Source organism: Homo sapiens, chromosome 7 (genome assembly GCF_000001405.40).
Source record: "Homo sapiens chromosome 7, GRCh38.p14 Primary Assembly".
Taxonomy (NCBI): domain Eukaryota; kingdom Metazoa; phylum Chordata; class Mammalia; order Primates; family Hominidae; genus Homo; species Homo sapiens.
The window spans coordinates 93,181,658-93,203,333 of NC_000007.14; the positions used below are offsets into that span (position 1 = coordinate 93,181,658).

The 21,676-nt window shown below is 35.6% G+C and overlaps 1 protein-coding gene across 6 annotated transcripts in view; it reads right to left on the reverse strand.

The window, feature by feature from the left end:
* The window catches only part of HEPACAM2 (HEPACAM family member 2), a 43,752-nt gene continuing 28,952 nt past the window's right edge, over positions 6,877-21,676 (reverse strand). For 5 of the 6 annotated variants that reach the window (XM_011516001.3, NM_001346642.2, NM_001039372.4 and 2 more), the window contains 6 exons: positions 15,828-15,953; positions 15,716-15,740; positions 15,584-15,621; positions 14,171-14,244; positions 10,597-10,706; positions 6,877-7,613 (listed from right to left, as the gene is read on the reverse strand). In XM_011516001.3, coding sequence (XP_011514303.1) covers positions 7,610-7,613; positions 10,597-10,706; positions 14,171-14,244; positions 15,584-15,621; positions 15,716-15,740; positions 15,828-15,953 — 377 coding nt within the window. In that variant the 3' untranslated portion in view covers positions 6,877-7,609. The remainder of the gene's footprint in view (positions 7,614-10,596; positions 10,707-14,170; positions 14,245-15,583; positions 15,622-15,715; positions 15,741-15,827; positions 15,954-21,676) is intronic. The other variant, NM_001288810.3, reaches the window with a different exon arrangement.

Below are 21,676 nucleotides of genomic sequence, written 5' to 3' on the forward strand. Positions count from 1 at the left end.
ACATAGAATTAGTATTGATTCATATGATTATATCACATATGAATCATACCAAAAAATGACCTGTGACATATTGTTTTTCATCTAATAAGATATGCAGAACTTTTCTCCATGTTATTACATTTAGATTTATCTCATTCTTTGTAATGCTACAATATCCTAACTGTTAGTTTTACTAGTATTTAACTGGCCCCCTGCTGTTAGGTACTCTGATTTCTTGTTCCTTTTCTTTGAACAGATCATTTGAAAACAAGAAAACCTAAAAACACTACTGGAAAAAGTTTGGACATTTTATTGACATTATAGGTATTTGGCAACTATTACACTGTGTGTAATTACTTGATAGAGCCTACACTAAGTGGTGCTGCATAAAAATGATAAGAGTACAAGTGAGATGCCATGCTGAGTTCTCAAATGAGGAAACAAATTTTCTTTTATGTCTACTTCTTGGTTCAGTTATTTAAGCAAAGGCAACAGCTTGGTGAAAAGATGTGGACTTTATAATATCTGTCTGCCAAGAAGATACCGATATTTATGGTAAATTAATAAAAGCATGGGCCATAAAACTGAAAGGAATCCTAGAGTTTATTTGGTCCTTCTCTCTCATACTACAGATTAGACTGGGACTGGGCACAGATAGTGTTTGGTTTTACCTCAACACTACCGCATCAACACTACATACACAGTACTAGTTTGCTAATATCATTTCTATGTGTGTAACCTAGTTACTAAATGATATCTCACTTATTTTAAATTGTTTTATCTTCCCCATCTAATAGGGGAAAGTAGATGTGTGTCCAGGGCTCCAGCAGAATTTTGTAGGCAGCATTACAGGATCATGAAAGAATCTTGGGCACTTCTGGGGAGGCTGCACAGTAGATATGACATCAGCACGGATAGTCTTGAAGAGCAAGCAGGAATATTCCAGATGGACAAGGAGGCAAATTAGAGCTTTCCATGTATGGTCATGATATAATCTATTGTTTAAGCTGGGACACTTTTGAAAGCAGAAGGTTTGAAATAGATGTATTTTAAGTGTGTGTGTTGGAACAGTGGGGATTTTCCTTGATGGCATGAGAAACTAGGTCAAGGTCAGAAGTTGTTAGACACAAATGAAATCAAGCAAATGTATTTATCTATTAGCATCTAATTATGACTGCCTGGCAGGTCAGCCTCTACTACTAAGTGTTTGTTTGAAATTAAGAATTAAGACTTGCAGTTGGTAGATTTCTTAATATGCAAAATCATATAGTTAAAAATTAAATTTCATTGAATTATTTCAGTAAATATATGTTAATTAACCTAGTAAGATTTCACTAAAATAGAACTATCTAAGAAATGGTTTTAGATGGTCATTGTAAACACAAGAAACTTCCTGATCTGGAACCAGAATATAGAGGGTCACCCACCCTTTTTAAAAGATATTTATGGACATACAGTGATAAAATTCATGTTCAATTTTTCTCTTTAAAGTTGATTTCCAAGTTCACTTTTTGCCTCCTTAACTGCTATTTCTTAACCTTTCCCGGCATCTCCATAATGGTGATGGCATCTCCTGAAGTTGGTGTTTCCAAGGGTGTTTCCCCCTTTATTTGCTTTCTGTCTCATCTTTTTGACATCCATTTCTACCTGTTCCTCATTTCCATACAAAACTCAATTTTAATCAGATATTCATTGTTTTTCCACCCACTCACATGCTTCTGAAGGTGTTGTCTTCCCTACCATGTCCACGGAAGTAAATTCTGAGTATTGTTTTAATCAAGGTAATCCCACTCCTCTTGCTAATAATTCCTTTAGGGAAGGGCATGTAACATGTATGGCCAAGGAAACCCTACTGGAATGCTAGTAGAGACTTCTGGGAAAGGTTTCCTCACACCCAAGGAAGTAGCACACAAAGTGGCTTTTTCCATTTTCTGGATGGTGCGGCATGTTTATATGACTTCTGGAATTGCTACATCCATCCTGTAACTATGAGGGAAGAGTAGAAGATGAAAAAGAACTTGAGTTCTTGATGACATTGTTGAGTCATTACATTAACCAATCCTGGGAATTTACCTGGCTTTTGAACTTCCTGTCATTTGAGATAATAAATTATTCTTTAAGTCCATTTAATCTGAGTTTTTTGTTATTCTCTTTCAAAGGCATGGTGATATATGGTCCAAATTTACTTCTTAAACCCAGACCTCTCCTTGAATGTCCCTCTTGGATATAAAACTGTCTATCGGATATTTCTGTTTGGAATCTTAAACTAATCCTAACCTTACCTAGTTCTCAACTCATCATTTCCCCCCTTTTAAACCTGTTGCTTCACATGCACTTCCCATCTTGTGTGATGGCATCATCAAGCTCTCAACACAGAAACACAGGCATTATTTATGACTCTTACCTGTATTTGGTGTCCCACATCTGATAACTGGGTCCCTATAAGTTTTATCTCTAAGACTTCCACCCTATAGTCCATCAAGTGCTTCATCCTCATCTTGATAATAGTAATATCTTCCCTAATTATTTATCTAGTCTCAGCTTTGTCCTATAAAATCCATTTCCAAGTTTATGTAGAGTGATCCATCCAAAACAGAAATCTGTTGTGATTGCTCACCTGGTCTGAGTCTCATTACTTACAGAATAAATCCAAGTTTCTTAACTGAACACTCAGGTTCATGCATGATCTGACCCTTATCCATGTAATCTCATTCATTCATTTTATCCTCAAATATTTCTTGATTGCTGAGATATGATAGTCATTGGGAATATAGGCAGATGTTGTTCCCTGCCTTCCCTGACTTTGGGAGCTTACAGTCTAGCAAGGAAGATAGACACTAAGCAAATGATTACCCTCGTGATGAGTGTAACAGGGAAGTACAGTATACTAGCTTCTTCTGTCATCAGCACTTGCCTTGACCATTCCCTCTCTTATTCTCTTATTATTACTGCACTGCTTACAGTTCTTCACATAGACCAGGCTGTTTCTTGCCTCTAGGCCTTTGCCCAAGCAGTTCTCTCTGCCTGAAATGCTTTCCTCACATTTCTTCACTTGGCTAACTCCTTCTTGTCCTTTGAAATTCAGCTCAGCTTCCTCCAGGAAGCCTTCTTTGAATACCCTAGACTCAATTTGATGCCCTCATCTAAGCTTCCATAGTATGCTTTGTGTTCTTTCTTAATGGTGTACCATGTTGCATTTACTATCTACTAGTATTATTTAGTTTATTGTATCTCTTTCTTTGACTAGACTGCAAGCTCTTAGAATATAAAGACTGAGTCATATTTAGTTCTTCTCTATCTTATGGCACATGAAATATAGTTAACAAGAGTTTATTAAACATAACTGAAATTTCTAATGAGATTTAAATTTCTCAAGGACTGGGCATGTTTTATAATTTTACTAAGTATACCCTCCTGGATCATTCACATGTTTTTTGTTTTGCATGACTATGCTTGTCATACTCGTTCCTCATATATTATAAATCTTACTTAATGTTAGCTCCTGGAATGCCCTTTCCTCTAAAGTTGGTGTGTTCCTTTTGCCCACCAAAACCCAATATGCTGTAAGAAATCTATTGGATGCTGCCAAAAGGAATTAATCACTCCTTCTTCTGTGGCGTCTCTGCATTTTTACACACTTCTACTATTGCATTTAGAACACAGTATTATAATTAGCTCTTTACATGCTTGGTCCACAGTATAATTATAGTAGCATGATAAGGATTTCGATACAGGTGTAATGAGAGCATTGCAGAGGACCTGACCTGCCTGGAGAATGTCACTTTTGAGAAAATCAAAGCAGGGTGAAGGTTGCCTAGTTCAGCCTCTTCATGTTTTGATGAGGCAACTGAGGGCCTGAAAGTCTGAGTCAGTTTCCTCCTCTGTAAAATGTCTAGTTATCTGTGAACTGTGAGTCAGAAAATATGAATTATTTTACACATAATGAGAATCAAATTTTATGTAACCCCACCCTGTGACTCTCTAGTTTCTGAAGGACAAAGCATTTTGGTAGAGTTTCAGTGAAATGCAAGGAAAAATAGCTCCCAAAGTTATTTAAGTGCCTCTGGGAGATAAAAGAAACTTGGTTATTGAAAATACAGTAATTTATTTGCCTCCTATAGATGGTGTCTTTATTAAATATAAAGAGGGCAGGCAATTCAGCTCAGTACAATTCAAAAACCATGTATTGCCTGTGTTCTAAAGTGTGTGTGCTGGGATGAATGTGATGAGGCTCATTGATCCCCAAAGACTCAGAGGCTCAGAGAGCCTCTGTCATAAACCTAAGGTGGGATTCTGCTGGAGATTTTCCCAAGTGTGAAAACATTCTCCCATTTTATGCCCCATTGATGGCAAGCAGTTGAGCTGTCATCTTCCCCAAGAGCATATTCAAATGAGAAAATTCTTGGCCAAGAAACAACAAACAAGTAAATAAACTCTGCTGGGAGCTCAATAATACTTGAAACTAATGAAGTTCCCAAGGTAAGGCTGACAAGACACAGTTGTGTTTGCTCCTTTCCAGGATGCCATGCCCAGAGAAATTATTGGTGCATTGGAATAGACCTTGGACTTGGAGCCAGAGATGTAGTTCAAGAATCAGCTCTGCCATTCATTGGTTTGGTGACTTTAGGAAAGTCGTTCAACTCCCAGAGTTTTGGTTTCTCCATCTGTAAAGTGGGTATACTGGTTCTAGCTCACAGGGTTCTTGTGAAGATCAAAAGAAGTCATGGATGTGAAAGTTGAATAAACTTCAAGCTTAATATGGTAATCACGATAAACAGTGTATCTAGGAGATGAGAAGGAAGGGGAGTAACACTGTTAAATCCAAATGCTGTGTCTGATTTCTGTGTCGATGAGGAAGATAGTTTTGCTTTCCTACTGCTTTGTGAAACTAAAAGATCTATATTAATGTATATTTGAACACAAACTTTAGAGGACTATGTAAGAATGATATAGGAATATACATGCTTATATATAGCAATGTAGAAGCAGAAAATAAGAACTTTTAAAAAATAAGTTTAAGTAAAATATAGGGAAATAGCCACCTATATGCTAAGTAATGTGTTGTCACTCAATTTTTATTATTTTGAGAACACCTTTTCATGTACATGCTCTAGTGCAATTGAAGGATCATGGGGACCTTGATGTCTGAGACTATATTGCAGTTTAACTGAAATTGTCTTATTAACATGGAAGTACACATCAGAAAACCAAGGAAAACTATATTTTAATAGGTATTTTAATTTTTTGCATAAAAGTCTATCAGTAGAATATACTCTTTAAAAATAATAAGTGTCAAGAATTTGATTCTATTCCAAGTTAGAAGTGGTAATATAAAGTTAAAAACTAACACTAGCTACGATTCTGTTTAGTAATGAGAAAAGAACTTTAGGCTGGCTTTTAAAGATTAATTTGTTAATTAGGTGAACATCTGGGTTTTGGTTCATCACTTCCCTTGGAAACCTTGATTAATTTATGAAACTTTCATCCTCATTTACTAAAAAAGCATTGAGTCATCCGGTGTTACACACCAATGACAGCAAAAGTTAATTGGATTCTAGATCCTTTCACATTTCTGCTTTCAGCAATTCCTTGCCACTTTGAGTGGAACCATGCGCTAAGGGAGTCCATGTATTTTTGTGTGTGCGAGAGAGATAGAGAAATGAGAGGAATTACAAGTAATTGAAAAATGAGTTTGAGAAAATAAGAATATATATTTGTATTTTCTTTGGTTTATGGTGAGAAACTCTGGAGGTATACACAAAATAGCCAAACCAAACCCCAAAACTAACAAACACAGTTACCTCAGTGCGTGTTTTTTTAAAATAGAGTTTTGATTTGTGAACCATGTGAGTGTATTATTATCTTTTCAGAAAGGGCTGTTGAAGATTGTCTGTGGATTAAAGTGTTTCAGAGTTGGGTTTAGGAAGGGGAAGACAGAGATGTAGCTGCAGTTCATTGTAGTTAGTGTCTGGCCTCCAAATAAGAGATGCATTAGCAAAGAGAACACCCCCAAGGAAGGAGGGGGGCACAAGACTGAGAAAGAAAGGGAGAGGTGGATGGAGCTGGGGTGGATGGCTTACTTACTGACTTACTTTCTTCTGGCCCTGCAATTGGATTGCAACCTTTTTTTTGGCGCTGCTACTTACAAATTGCATTCAGCTTAGAAACCACTCTTAGGTATATACCTGTATATGGCATATGATCTTGGCCGTGTGAAACAATACTCACAGATGAAGGGGACTTCATCACACTGGTTCTTAATTTCTTTCTGCTTTTGCTTTGCCTCTCATTGTTCTTTCATCCTGTTTTCCTTATCAACTTTACTTTTTGGGCATATTTTATCTTGTGATATTATGCATTTATATGAGCTACCATGAATCTTTTCTGGAATTGGAAGGAGTATGAATAAATATGTACATAACTAATCTGGGGAAATGCTAACAGAGGAGTAAGATTACAAGTGATTTTAATTGTTTTATGGTGAGTCTTCTGCATTTCCAAGTACACATATATTTTTACAAGGGGCATGAATTTCTTTTCTAATCAGATACAGTAGTTTTTTTGCTAAATGTAGAAGAAAATACTTGTGGTAGAACTGATGGACTTTTCCAACAGAACAATATATAAGGGTAGTAGAGAGAGAGGACCAGAAAGGAGTCATGGGACTAAAGTCTTAATTTTCTTTTCACCATGTGCTTCTGTGAAAATGCAGGAAGGGCAATGTACCTACATTGGCTTGCTTGAAACTTTTAGAAAAGAAATTCTATTTTTAAGATTTCTTTTCTTCTATTTAAAATAATAGGCCATGAGAGAGCAAGATCTTTATTTTTATAATTCCCTATAATCTAGACTTGATTGCACATTGGGAAATAAGGATTAAAAAACCAACGTCTACAATCTGATTTTTATGTAATATTTTTACTCTACAAGACAAAGAATTAAGACCACATAAAAGCAAAAACAGAATAATTTATTTGAATCCATCTTTCCTTGAAAAAAATAAAAATAAGACTTTAATAGTCATTTCCTTAAGTGTTCACAAGTCTTCTCAAAAATACTACTGGTGATTGAAAAAAAAGAGAAGGCATAGTTTTGTTTTTGTGACAACCATCCTTATTACTTTGTTGTACAAATAACAAGATAGAAATTTGGAAATAAAATTGAAACATAAATTTAGCATTCTTAACACTAATAAAAATTTAATAAAACAAAGTCTGCTGAAAAATCGAACAATGTAAAGTTTCCACATTTGTAGGTGAGACAGGATAGTCTCAGTGTTGATGATAGTGAAAGTGTAGAGTAGAACTAATTGAGGTTTGTAGAGATATTTCATACAAAACTTATGAGGAAACCCCTGTCACTTTCGTTCTCCCCGTCAGCATGAGAACGACTCTCCACTGAGGAATATTTCCCCAACATGTTTTTCTGTTGCACAAGACATTGTGTATATGCTGAAAAACCTGCAGTTCAATTTGCATAAATGCCTCTATTCTGCATGTAAAGGAATAATGAGTAAGAGGTGTTGGTCTTGGTTTCTTCACTGATTCCAGATTAATATACTTTTCCACTGTTTTTCCTTAAAATGTTTCTTCAGAATTTCACTCGAATGTACTGTTTAGCCCATGAAAGTTCACCTAGTGAAGAGATATACAAAATATGTAAACAGTTCTATAGATTTTTCAGGTCTGCAGGTAAAAGAACTTTAAATTCTTTTATTGCTTTCCAGGGCTACAGATTAGAAGAATGTTTGGAGCTAGCTCAAGAAAATTACATTTATCAACAAATAAATATAAGAGTCAGCAATTATTAAATTTTGTAGATAATTTACTTTCGAAACTAAAGGTTTACTTAACTTGAAAGTCCTGTTTTCAATATACTAACGTCAGTCTTGGGTTCAATATAAACCCTACCAAGAGCATTTAATGAGGTCAATAGACAACATTGAAATACATCCAGCCATAAGTTCACTAAATAAATAATTGGGCTGAGTACTAGAATATGAACACAAACCAATTTACCAGTTTGTTAAACAGCAGTCCAATTAGGTAATAGACACATGAAGTAAAGAAAATAACACTGTTATTTTACAACAGTCTAAGAGCCAAAGAATAAAATTGTTTGGCTGTCTTTCCTACTCAGAAGTGACTGCCAAATAAAAGAAAGCAGAGAAGTTAGGATTCTTTCCCCAGAGCTGGCACATTCAAGTTGGGAATAGATGGGAGAGAGTCACCAACCACCTATAATAATGCATTACTCATGAAGTTGATCTTTGAATTTAATTGGACCTAGAGGAGAATAAAACCACAGATAATCAGGAAAGAAAAATGCTCTCTGCATCTATAGGTGGCATTTATTCTACTGAGAAATATTTATTTTACTAAGAATCACTAATCTTTAGTTAAAATAAGTAAACAGCAGCCCACTATACTAGGAAATCTTTAAAAGATCGAGTCTTATTTAACGTCTTGCTCTAGCGCATAGTAAATGTCCTGGAAATGTTTGTGAAGTGATTATAAGTAAAATAAGTGCAAAATAGTTTCTGATAAAGAAAAAGGAAGCATTTCACTTATTTATTAAAAAAATTTAGAATTAGTAACATAAATCTGAATTCAAATAAAATAACACTTTAGAAAATATTGGCTCCCCGTTTAGATAATGCTGGAAGACAGACAGAGGAGGAAAATTTTAAGAAGGATATTACGGATAAGGGAGACAGTTATGGAGAAGGAGAGGAAAAGAGAAGGGTAGACTCAGAAAATGAGGGATTCAAAGGATGAAGGTAAAAGAAGAGAGAGCCACTGGAAGACAAAGATCTACATAGATGAACTGACAAACACAAAAAAGATTGAGAAGACAGAAGAAGAAGGTGAGAAGAGAGAGGCTGTGGGAGGTGGAGATGTCACTCAGTTTGGGCTGGTAGCATGAGCTGGGGTTTTGAAGATGACTGCCTTTTGGAGGACCATGTCCCAATAGCGGTTTTGAATACTTTTTAAATAGCAGTTTTGAATGCCTGAAAAAGAACATTTCTGCTTTGTTTTCAATTCTCAAATCTTATTTATGAAATAAACTTTTATATTCTTAAGAAAGTCAAAAGATGTTGCTAGTGTCTAAAAGTCATCTAGTTTCAAAGGGTGTTTTTTTTTTAAGAATCAGTTTTTTGACACGCAAAACAACCCAATCAGTTTATTTTGTGTTCTTAAATTGTAGCTGCCATATTCACAATTTTGACTTAAAATTTATTTCGTTCTTAATAACCTTAAAAGATAAACCCCAAGTTGTCATTTGGTTTGTTTACATTCTAATGTGAAAAATTGATAGTTAGAAGAAAGGATACATAGAAAAACAAATGAACTTAAATAGGATAGAAATTTTAATTAGATTAAATCTTAGAAAGGAGACATAATCTCAAAATTCTTTCAATGCCTTATATTTAACAGCAAACAAACTTCCCCTAGTTTTCTATTATAGACAGTAAAGAGAATTAGGTATCATTTTAGAGTTTTTATTCTTAAAATATCATGTAATAATATCCTACTCTTGTGTTCTACTAGATTGATAATGCAATGCTTTACAACATTTTTTTTTCAAACTAGAAGTTCCTAACTCCAACAGTCTGTTCCTTATTTATGTGACTCTAGGTAAATTTTCTCTGATGAGGTTCTCTGAAGTATCTTGCCACTTATTTAGTCCTTAAATGACGCACAGTCCCCCCAGCACTAGGTTTCCTCACCATAAGATGATTTTTCCTGGATTTGTTCATTCCTAGCTGTTATTTTTGGTATTTACCCAGAAGTGTGCATGAATTACTTTGCTGAAACTGTTTATTTTGCCAGAGGGCAAGTTTCTGTATGTGGTTATTGATGTTCTTTTCAAAGTCAATAAGTGACAAAGAAATGATGGAAGATGATCTGTGGCAGTTATGACTGCAGGCAGCTATAGCCCACAAAAAAGAGAAGTTCATTTTATTATTTCAAAAGATTGTAGGCTTTATTTCTCCACGGCATGGAGGAAAGGGAGACTTCTTAGTGACAGCCTTGAGCTTAACTGGATAAATAGGTTCCCAGCTTTGTCCTCAGTACAGGTTTTGTCCTCTATGGGTGAGAGGCCAGTCCTCAATGGGGTTCCACTCAATTGGGAATAGGCTACTTTGAATAAGAGGATTGGCATTGGTGCTGACTGTGCTGTGGACCCTCTGTAGGCTTTTATTTTACTGGTCCTATTTTTAGTGACAAATCATCCATAAAACTTCCATAGCCACTGGAAAATCACTAAGTAATCATTAAGATGGCTACAGAATTAGCCTGAACATTCCTTTCATACCCAGATGTGGATTCCTTGGGGAAATATTGTGAGAAACTAATGTACACAAGAGAAAGTTGATTCTAGAGTTTTGTATCTAGTCCACTGGCCCAAGTGCATGGCCCTCGAAGATATTTGTGTGTTTGCCTGTTTTGTTTCTCAAAATTATGCTCAGGTGGGGAAGTGTGTTCAAATGTACAGAAGCTATAATTTCTTGTTTTGGTATTTTTCTTCTGTGCCTTTTAATCAGTTCTGGGGAAAGCAAAAGCTAAATGCTTAGCCTCTCCATAGCACCATCAAATGCAGATTCGTACTTACTCTGGATGGTCTTGCTGCTGGGCAGGGATGTGCTGAATAACTTCATACACTGTACTGTGCAAATCTTGCCCCGATACACAATCAGAGGCTGGAACAGACCTGCTTGGGATCTAGAAAATGTGATACATTAAAAATAAATTATCTCAAGACTAGTAAATAGTTTTTCCACTATGTTGCATAGTTGAAAACAACTGGCAGTAGTGATGATTAGAGAATTAGAACTATTTATCTTCCCTAGAAAGTTGACTTCCTCCTTGCTACACTTTTCTGCACTTACCCTATGGCAGTTTGTGCAGCAGCATAGCTATAAGGTCAGAAGAAGGATAGCTTGACAAAGCTATGGATTTTTTCTTCATTTAAGAAGAAAGCTGGCAGTACTGTAAAGGAAATATTATAGAAAGAAAAAATAGCAAAAGAGAAGATATCAGGATATCTTAGAATCAGATAGCATATATCATTATCTTTTCTATACCTCAGTTACCCTTTTGACACTATTTGCCAATTATGTGCGCAAGGGTGGCTTAAAAGAAAAGAACAATATACAGCCCAAATCCCTCATCATATTGCAAATAAGTAAAGACAGTACCAAGGAATGTGGAACACTCAAAGGAAAATGTTTTGGTTTAAATGTAGTAATGGACTGTAAAAACTAAATGCTTAGGTGAATGTGGAAAGGATAGTGTATTTATGGCTGGTAAAAACCAACAGGTATTTTTATTGAAAGTGGTATTTGTGTTTTATTAATTCCCATTCCTTATATTTCATAACTTCCTTCTTCCTATAAACACTCCCTCCCAATTATTTAGCCGAAGTCTAGTTTTCCTCCCCATCCCAAATGCTTCCTATTTTAATCCTACTTCTGTCCACTTTCAGTCCTTCATATTTATACACCTTCACCTCGAGGGCTCTTTGCTCTTGATAACTCTGAAGAGTTCACTATCTCATGTTAATTTGACCTGCTAGGTTTTAGTGGAACATCTTAGCTTTTTGTTTTTCTAGAAACCACTAATTTCCATTCCACTTGCTATAGCTCTCACATGAAGCCTTAGTATATGTGATTTCTTCTGTCATTTTTGTGTCAAGGAAATTTTGGTTTACGATCTATCCTTGAGATCAGCTCTTGATATTTGTTGTATGAAGGTATTCAGGAGCTACGGTAAAAGCAATCTATTGATGATCACTAACTTACCTAACCTAATATTAGAGCTGTTAAATAATAAACTTGCTCACTTAATGCAATTGTTTTCTGTCTAACTCCTGAAAGAGGTGCTAAATGGACAATGAAATGTGCAATTGGTAGAGACAGAAGTAATCCATTTGTGTACATACCACACAATATGCCAAGAGATTATTTTGATTATCTTTTTTTGAGTCAGGGTCTCGCTATGTTACTCAGGTTGGTCTTGAACTCCTGGGTTCAAGTGATCCTCCTAACTCAGCTTCCTGAACAGCTGGGACTACAGGTGCACACCGTGGCACCTAGCTTATTTTGATTTTTAAAAACTCAGAAAGTTAATAATTTAATTTATTTCCCTTCTCAAGTTCAGTTTTGAGATCTTGGTTTTATTATCACCTTTCCTTCTTTTCTAAAGGCCATTGCATTTGGCTGCTAATCTTCCATTACATAGCTACGTATACATAGCTGCCATTCTGGCTTCTCATGCAGATCCTCCTCCTCATGTCCCTGTCCTCATCCTCCTCCTTTGGTTGTTGGTCTTGATTTCTCACTTCTTCCCCAAAGCACCTGCAATGGCCAATTAAGAACCTCAGCAGATTCCTCAGGAGCTTGCAGCTTTGAAGATGGACATGGCTCCAAATCAAGTTATTCTGTTTCTGATAGAAATAAGCAGGGCTTCTACTATGTAATTAAAGCCCCTATTTCTCTGCTTAAGTTCTTCAGGGCTATAATATTTTGAGCCAATTGAGGTCCTCCCAGTAAAACTCCAAAATTGAGTAGTGATTAATCACATGGTAAGATTTAAAATTTCTTACATAAATCTCACTCCTTTCCAGTGAATTCCTAGGAATAAATGTTTGCATTATTTTAAATAAAAAAACTGAAACTCCTTATTCAAAAATTCAATTATAAGTCTTAGCTCTTCAGTTTCCTGCTCTCCAATTTGAAGCCACACCTCAGAGTGGTGCTTTCTACCATCGTGAGAAGCTGTTTGAAATAACTGATCCATCAAATATTTGTTTTTGTCTTTTGGTTGTGGAAGTGAAGGTGAGCCAATCCTGCCTGAGATTGAATAGGGTATTGCAAAGCCTTTGCACAGTAGTTCTTTGCTTCATCTGTGACTGTTACTGACTCACCCTTAGGGAGGATGAAATCCAATCAGTCCCTCTCCATTACTCACATGACATTTCTCAAATAAACTCTGTGGCGAGGAAGCTTACTAGATGAACCTTATACACTGATAGAATCCTCTGAACAAGAGAAGTCACGATTCCCTAATGGCAAATAGTCTTTTTAACAAATGGAAATGAGAATGCCTGGAAGCAAGTAATCTGTTTTTATGGTGCCCTTCCTCAAATGGACTCTCATAGCAGAATAAGGAAGCAGAGGAAAACTTGGTTCTATACAAATCTATAAAAATGTTAATAATCTGATTTGCTCACAGAAACATTCTGCATGTCTGTTAAGAAAAACTGATTACTTTAAAAGATCTTTTTTTTTTTTTTTTTTCCGGACTGAAATGACTTCAACTATATGAAAGCTCCTTTGCCATCTCATGCACCTTTAGGGCAATAATAAAGATGTATACTTGCATACTTTGGGCCTATATGGTAACTTCCTTCTGAAGCATGAGGTATCTTCAAGGGTGTGATCAATTGTCTTTGCAATGTTGTCAAAAGATATGAGGGGGCAATAAAGGGAAAACTGAGGAACAGAGAGAGTTTAGTAAAGTGATGGGTTGCAGTCACCCAAGTGATGCAGAATGACTTAAATTAGGGTCTCCTGATCCGCTGTTTATTCAGTATTTATTTATTTGAGACAGGGTCTTACTCTGCTGCCCAGGCTGGAGTGCGGTAGTGTGATCACGGCTCACTGTAGCCTTGAACTCCTGGGCTCAATGATCCTCCTGCCTCGGTCTCCCAAGAAGCTGGGACCAGAGGCATGCATAACCATGCTTGGCTAATTTTTAAATATTTGTTGGGATGGGGTCTTTGCCCAGGCTGATCTCAAACTCCTGGGCTCAAGTGATCTTTCCATCTCAGCCTCCCAAAGCCCTAGGAATACAGATGTGAGCCACCACGCCCAGCTTGTTTATTCAGTTCTCTTGACTTTCAACCTAGTTAGTTCTCTCTTCACTGAGATTACCAGGTAAAGACTATTTATGAATTAGCATAACTTCCTTATTTGTGTTAGCTTTACTTATAAAGGCGAAGTAAGATGCTTTAGCTTCCCAAATCTGGCAATGCCATTCATTACGGAGTAAGTCAACACTGCTTAATGCAGTAATGGGTAATGCAGCCATTTGACCACACTGCCCAGTGCTTAAACAAATGCTTTTTACACCTCTGGTGAAGCAGAATTCTACTTCTCGGTTAATCAGCCACTAGGAAAACCAACCCTGGAAACACCAGAAACATCTGGAAAAGCAACAAATTCATATATTCCGAAGTCATCCAGAGCATCTTCATGGCCTGAAATGTAAAACAAATACTGCTTACAAACCGAATGCCTTGATTTGCTGTTGTTTTTTAAACCTTTGTAAAACTTATCTTTATTGTCTGTTTTAAATGGTATAGGTACAAAATGAATTTAACATTTCCTAATTCCTATAGTCGTATTGCCATTAAGCAGTGTTGGAAATCACTCTTTCTGAAGCTGAGAATCGAAACTGAATTGGAACAATTATTCTTAAAGCCAGACGTGAGAATAGCCTGTTACATCTTTAAATACACACAGGTGGGCAACCTTGGCCTTTGTAACTTGCAGTTACCAGAGACTCATGGTCACCAGGGTTTAAGCCTGAAGGTCACACCAGTTCTTGATCCACCCGTAATATCTACTGCACCCTGTTAGATCTAACAGATCTAACAGATGTAACAGATCATCAGAACAAAAAGAGTAAATAGCTAACTGAAGCTTCCCATACATAAAAAGTAAAATACATTACACTATCAATCCACATAAACTATCATCTATAGAATGATGGCGGGGGAGGTGGTTAGGAGGAACCAGATAGCCTCTGGGGCCCTTGCCAGCTCTGACATTCTGTCACTTATAAGTCAGGAAGGGCTAGAAAAGAGGAAGAAGGCCCACATTTATTACACATCCAGGCATCATATCAGGCACTCCACCTATATCATTTTATTTAATTCTCATAGCAACCTTAAGGGGGAAGTTTTTATCCCTATTATATAGAAGAGGAAGTTGCGGTTAAGAAAAATAATTTTCCTAAGGTGACATGAGGGGAAATAAAACTGAAACTTGGCTCCCTGTGATTTTGTGGCCTGAGCCAAAACTTTGTTAACTTATAATAAGTCAGTACAGTCAATATTGATGATAATGAGGGTTACAGTGGGGACAAAGAAGCAATCCTGGCCCCTGCCAAATCTTCTTTTCCTCTTCTCTTTGGGATGGAGCTGCCAGCATGAAACCTACCTTAGGAATGAACAAAGTGATAGAACCCTTTGGCATTTTCAAAATAATAATAGGATCAATGAGTTAGCAGAACTAATTTCTTTGATCCTACTGACTGTGGACAAGTGACTTAATCTCCTTGATTATTAGTTCTCTTGACTGTAAAATGGAGTTAAGAGTGCTTCCAGGCCTGATATTACAGACTTGTGTGACTTATATAAAACCAATACAGAAGACAGCACTTTGTAAAGTGAAGGCACTAACTCAAAGGTAAGAGACTGTTATATTAATTTTAGCTCATATTAATTATATTACATTAATAATATATAATAATATTAACACAACTAATTAACATACATTAAAACTGATAATAGCCCTTTTCAGCTTGGCCATTACCTGAAAATGTTTGAGCTTTCCTGTATTCTGTTTCTGGCCTGAAAAGACAAAATAGGTATTTTTGTCAGGGATAATAATTGAGGAATAAGCATCTAAGGAAAACAACTATTTTCATAGAAACAGATGCATTACCTGCCTTCTAGTTTCTGTTTTATAACTAAAATCAAGAGAGAAGAAAAATGGTAAGGTTTTTTTTAGTACACATATATACAGCTTCAATTTTTTTTTTGTAATTTTAACCTACCTTTGTAGGGTTGATATTTTTTCCATAGGAAGAGAAGACACATGGATATAATCAAAAATAGTGATATTCCAGTTATACTTGCTAAAGGTGACAATGATTTTCCTTTCTGTGCAAGCTTCTCCAGTCCTAAATAAAAAGATAAACATATTTTTAGCAATAAATTGCTACAGTATATAACTTGACTTTTTAAATGCCGTATTTTAAATGAGACGCTATTGAAAAAAATATATAAACACGTATATTAGAGACACACAGAGAGAGAGAGAGACCAAATGGAAGGAATGCACTTATTTTAGAACACACACTAAACTCCCTAGGGATACCTGTGATTGGAAACGTGGTGCACTGCCCAAGTTAAAACTGACTGTGTTGTACTAGGTGTAGCCAATATCTCATGTCGTACTTCTCAGTGATGTTTGCCACCTTAGATCTGTTTCATCTCATTGTCTCTACATTCCTAAATGCTAAGTTGTTCTCTCATTTTCCTTCCATTTTGCTTTTTTAGCATAATTCAAGTATGTGAATTTTCTAGGGAGATGGTATGTGATTAAAGGTGCAAGAGGGGAGGTGTTCATTTCAAACACACTTTAGTAATTTTTGGCCAATAAAGAAATGTCTCTTACCATAAATGATGAAAAAAATTAAAAAGAAAAAAGAAATGTCAATTCTTAAAATAGGATGTATGTGTGATTTTTCAAAAAAATATTTAAAGTCCCACCTTTTGACTAGAATTCACTTTGTTTTATCAGTCATTCCCTTTATTAATATCACTATATAAAATACGGTGCTAATAACATCTGCTCTGTTCTAAGGGTGCATGATACATATTAACTCACTGAATCTTTACAACAATCCTACCAGGGAGAGATTATTTTATCATCCCTTCCAATAGATGAGGAAGCTGAGTCTTGCCCAAGGTCACTTGGGTTATAAGTGGTAGAATCCAGATGTTACCCCAGACTCTTAACACTTAATGATGCCTCCCTTTAATATAATTTTAACACAACTTATTAACTGTGGCTATGTTAACACCAGCTTCAGGTTATAATATGTTTAGTTATATAGTCAATCTATATAATAGGAAGTAGTTTTAACCTCCAACAAATGAAAGTAACAGATGTCTTCCATATTACCATGTGAATCAGATATGGGTGTGGAAATAAATCATGGCAGTTGCTTGTCTCTGTCCAGATTAATGTGTGAGTGAAAGTCATGTGATGCCATTTCCATTCAGCAATGGTGAACAGCCTGGAAAATCTGGGTGTGGTAAAGACCATGGTGGCTACACAGCTCTGCAATAAATATCCAGCCTGCACTGTGTCATCTTTCATCATAAAATCTCTGCTGAGATCTCCAACAGCCAAAATAAGGGAGGAAGCCTTAATCTTTTCTTTCTCTCAGTATGAACCTACATTAACTCTCTTGGCTTTTCCACTCAGAATACTTCCATTTCTTAATCTTACAGGAATCTTTTAATAAGGTAGTGTAGATCATATGTGCAAAAATCGAGTAAACACATCATGGAAATCGGTTATCTCTTCTAATTTCCCAATACAGCACCATTCACATATTTCCCTTAAGTCCTAAAGAGTTCGACAAGGTTGTTTTTCATTATCAAAAATCTTCACCATTTCTGATGGGGAGTTTATAAATTTCTGACATGCGTTCAGAGAACTGCATTCTTAAAATGTTATTCTATGGGATTATAATATCTGTGTCCTGCTTATTGCCTTTAAACAGATTTTAAATTAAACTCTTTCAAACCTTGGCTAGAAGAAATAAATGCAAGGCAGCTTCAAATGAACTAGAATGGCAATTTATTGATCCTAGATATAGACTAGAACATCATGAAGCTTTTTAGATTATTTTTGCCTCATAAAAAGTTGTAGAATAATTTATATTCTCCCACTGTTAGAAGGCTGACCTTTTAGTTTGGAACCACTTTGCACTTGGGTAGTCTCTTTGTGAGATCTTAGCCTTTTCTCAGATATTATTCTCTTGTGGGATTGTTCTCTCTAAAGAGCTGTGTAACTTTGGGTGAGCCCCTTGACTCTCAGGGTTTTGATTTTCACATTAGTATAATGAGGAGGCAAGAGTGAAAGAGTGACTGGCATTTAAGTTCTCTTCTTGCTCTGATACTCTATGACTTGGGGGAGCCAGAGAAGTTTACATGAAGTTATGTAAATAGGACCCTATATCTGTGGCATGCTAGTAACAAAGTCTTCAAAAAATTGCACATATATATGTTAACACACCTTATAAACACACACAATACACTTTTAAGTTTAATTTCCACTATTTTTTTCCCTCATTTCCTCAAGTGTAGGCAATGTAATTATAGAGCAACATTTTTCTGAGTTTTAAAACATAGTAATTTCATTATCATTAAGTCCAAAATGTTTTCTAATTTTCACTGCAATTTCTTATTTGACCTATGGGTTTAGAAGTCTGTTGCTTAATTTTCTTAAGTTTGGGAGTTTTCTAGTGGTGTTTCTATTATTGATTTTTGGTTTAATTTCATTCTTGTTAGAGGGCAATCCTTTGAAGTTTGTTGATTTTTTTTAATGACTATACAAATAGTCATATGAAAAGGGTGTATTCTGCTGTTGTTGTATGTAGTATTTATATTATTTCAACTAGGTGAGGCAGGTTTTCTCTATTCCTACTGAGTTTTTGTCTGTTTTATTAGTTACTGAAATAAATATGTTAAAATCTCCCACTTTGTGATTTTTTTCGGTCAATTTTTGCTATTTATTAGGTGCACTTCCTAATGCTTCTTGTCTTGAAGAATTTATCTAATTCATCTAATTTTTATGTACATTATCTTATACCAGTACGGTAAGTCCTCACTTAACATCAGCTGATTCTTGGAAACTGTGACTGAGCAAAACAACAAATAATGAAATCAATTTAACCATTGGCTAATTGATATAAACAAGAGCTAAGTCTCTACAACATATTTCTGGTCAGAAAAATATCAGAGTTCTACATAAAGATCCCAAACACTTCTAATATCAAACACTGAAATAAATTGAATGAATACATACATTGAATAAAGATTAATAAAACAAGTAAGATCGTTATTTACTCAATTTTTGGTGAATCTGTGAATGATGGCAGTGGTAGTGGTAATGGGTTAAATCAAGGAATAAATGTTTACAAAGTGAAAGTTGTAAAAAGCACCTCCTAGCATCATGCAGTTCAAAAACTAACATCACAAATCTGGTAGTCTTGCGGAGCACTTTCATATCACATCATTTATTGTCATGCATTTATATGATTATCCTAGTCTTTATAAATTTTTATTTGACAATCATTCGTATTCATTCATTCATTCTCCAACCTGCTTATTCTAGTTCAGGCTTGCAGGTGGCTAGAATCCTATCCTGGAAGCCCAGGACACAAGGCCGGAACTAGCCCTGGACAGGGTACCATCCCATTTCAGGGCACACTCACACACATACCCACACTAACTCAGACAGTGACTATGCAGATATGACAGTTCACTGAATGTGCACATCTTTGGGATGTGGGAGGAAGCTGGAATACCTGGAGAAAACCCATGTAGGTAGGGGGAGAAAGTGCAAACTGCACACACACAGTGGCCCCAGTGGGAATTGATATTTTTTCTCATCAATATTATAATGAAATGATGTTGAAATGAAATAACATTATTAGAAGACCTGCTATATAGCTATGCTAGCTTTCTTTTTTGTATGGTTTATCTGTTCATCTATTTAATTAAAACCTTTCAGTATCTTCATACATAAGGTGTGTATCCAGTTTGACATTTGTTTTTTACTTGGAATATTTAGCGCACTAAGACCTAGTATGATTAGTAATATATTTCAGTTTAGATCTGCAATCTTATTATTTTTTCTATATTTCCTACCTTTTTATTCCTTTGCTCTCTCCTTTCTTGTCCTAATTTAGATTAATCAGAATTTTATTTATCTTTTCTTCTCTATTTCCTTGTTAGTTATACATTTTTATTTGTCTTTTAGACTTTAGGGATTAAAAATTCTAATCAATAGTTATACCACTTACTGCTTCTATGATACAATAATTAGTTTCATATTACAGTTGGGAAATCTAAGACTCCAGGACTCAAATTTGAATTTAGCAATGTCTAACAACAATTCCATGCTCTTTCCACCACTCTTACCTAATCATTATAGAAGAAACAAAGTCCTTCTCCCAAATGAAGCCCAAATCTACTCAGTTCTACCAATTGAAGCAATGACAAATAAATCAAATCCTCTCTGTATATGATGTCATCTTAATTGTTTGGTGAAACTCACATCTCCCCCTGAGAATCCTCTTCTTCAGATTCAGCATCCCAAGATCATTTTGTTGTTCTTTACATAACTGGATTCCAGATTCTCTACCATCCTAGAGGTGCACTTTTGGAAGCCCAACAAAATTTAATTTCATTTCTAAGACATAAATTTAGAAGGACCCATACTTCACTGCGGTTGTCAATAAGATAAAGGCAAATAGAATGCTCTCTGAGACAGTGACAGTGATAAAAAAGCAAAAAAAAAAACCAAAAAAAAAAAAAAAAACCACAAAAACCAGAAAAACTGGTAAGAAATAAATAATAAAAAAGAAAGAATTGAAAAAAAATACCAAATAATAGAGTGGCAAGATTTAACATATATCGTATGATTTGGGCACCACTTTTAGCAAGTGAATTCTCTATTTCGTCATTTTAGATCTGACAATAAAATAAAAACTAGCTAAGGGAATTTTCAGATAATGCACAATTAAATATATATTAAATATTATATATACATAAAATCAAATGTACAATTTGTTTTCCATTTACAAAAGAAAATTCATACCATTTACAGTTACAGATAAAGAAAGAGTCTCAGAGAAACTAAAATATTTGCCATAGTCAGTAAGTCCTAGAATTGAGAGTAGACAGGTTTTTTTCTGACTGCAAGTTCAACTTTTTTTCTGTTAATCTGTGGTCAAAGATTGGTTTTTCCAATTAGTAGGTAGGCTCTTACATATCAGTTTTTCCTCTAACTTTTTCTGACATACGACTTCATGTGCTTCAAATCTTTCACTTCTTAATAGCCAGACTGCCATCACCAAAATTCTATAACCCCTGAAGACTCCTCAAAAAAGAATTCAATGCTAATTTATTCTATTCAAGTTTTTGCAATGTGCTTTACCATCAGCAAAACTGCTGAAAAACACTTGAGTAGTCTCGGCTGTTTTTTCCCTCTTAAACTTGAACATATGCTAATAATTACTATTTCCAAGCAGTTCCCGTTCTAATAGTGAAGCTTCACTCTGGCCGGCATCAGCTCTCTGCCAGACACTTCTGTGATTCTCCAGTCAGGCAGTAGGCTTAATATACAATGACTGGATGTCTTAGACTAGATAAGATACATATGTTCCCTTCTCCTTCATTTTTAACTTTTTGTCCCTTTTGATATGTATTTACTAAAATGACCTAATTTGCACACATTCTCTCCTACAGAGGATCCCACTGTTTCCTTCCTCCATTACTTCCTTATTTCTTTAGGCTCCTTCCTTATTGCCCTCTTGCCTCTTCCCTTGGCCTGTGTTTGCCCTACATCAGAGAGCTTTCCTGTAGTGACCAGTGCCTGTCAGCCCAAAACCACGGCTGTGGCAAAGGCCAAGAGTCTTCCCAATGGAGAATGAGGAATAGGGACAATCCTTTTCTCGGAAGAAATGATCTTTCCTGTTAGTCCTCTTCTCTAGAGCATTCTGGCTCTCTGCTCTCAACACTGCTCCTCTATCCCAGAACACACAAGATTTACTAGGTCCAGCATTTGAAATTTGTTCCTTTCACACACACAAAAAGTGCCAAA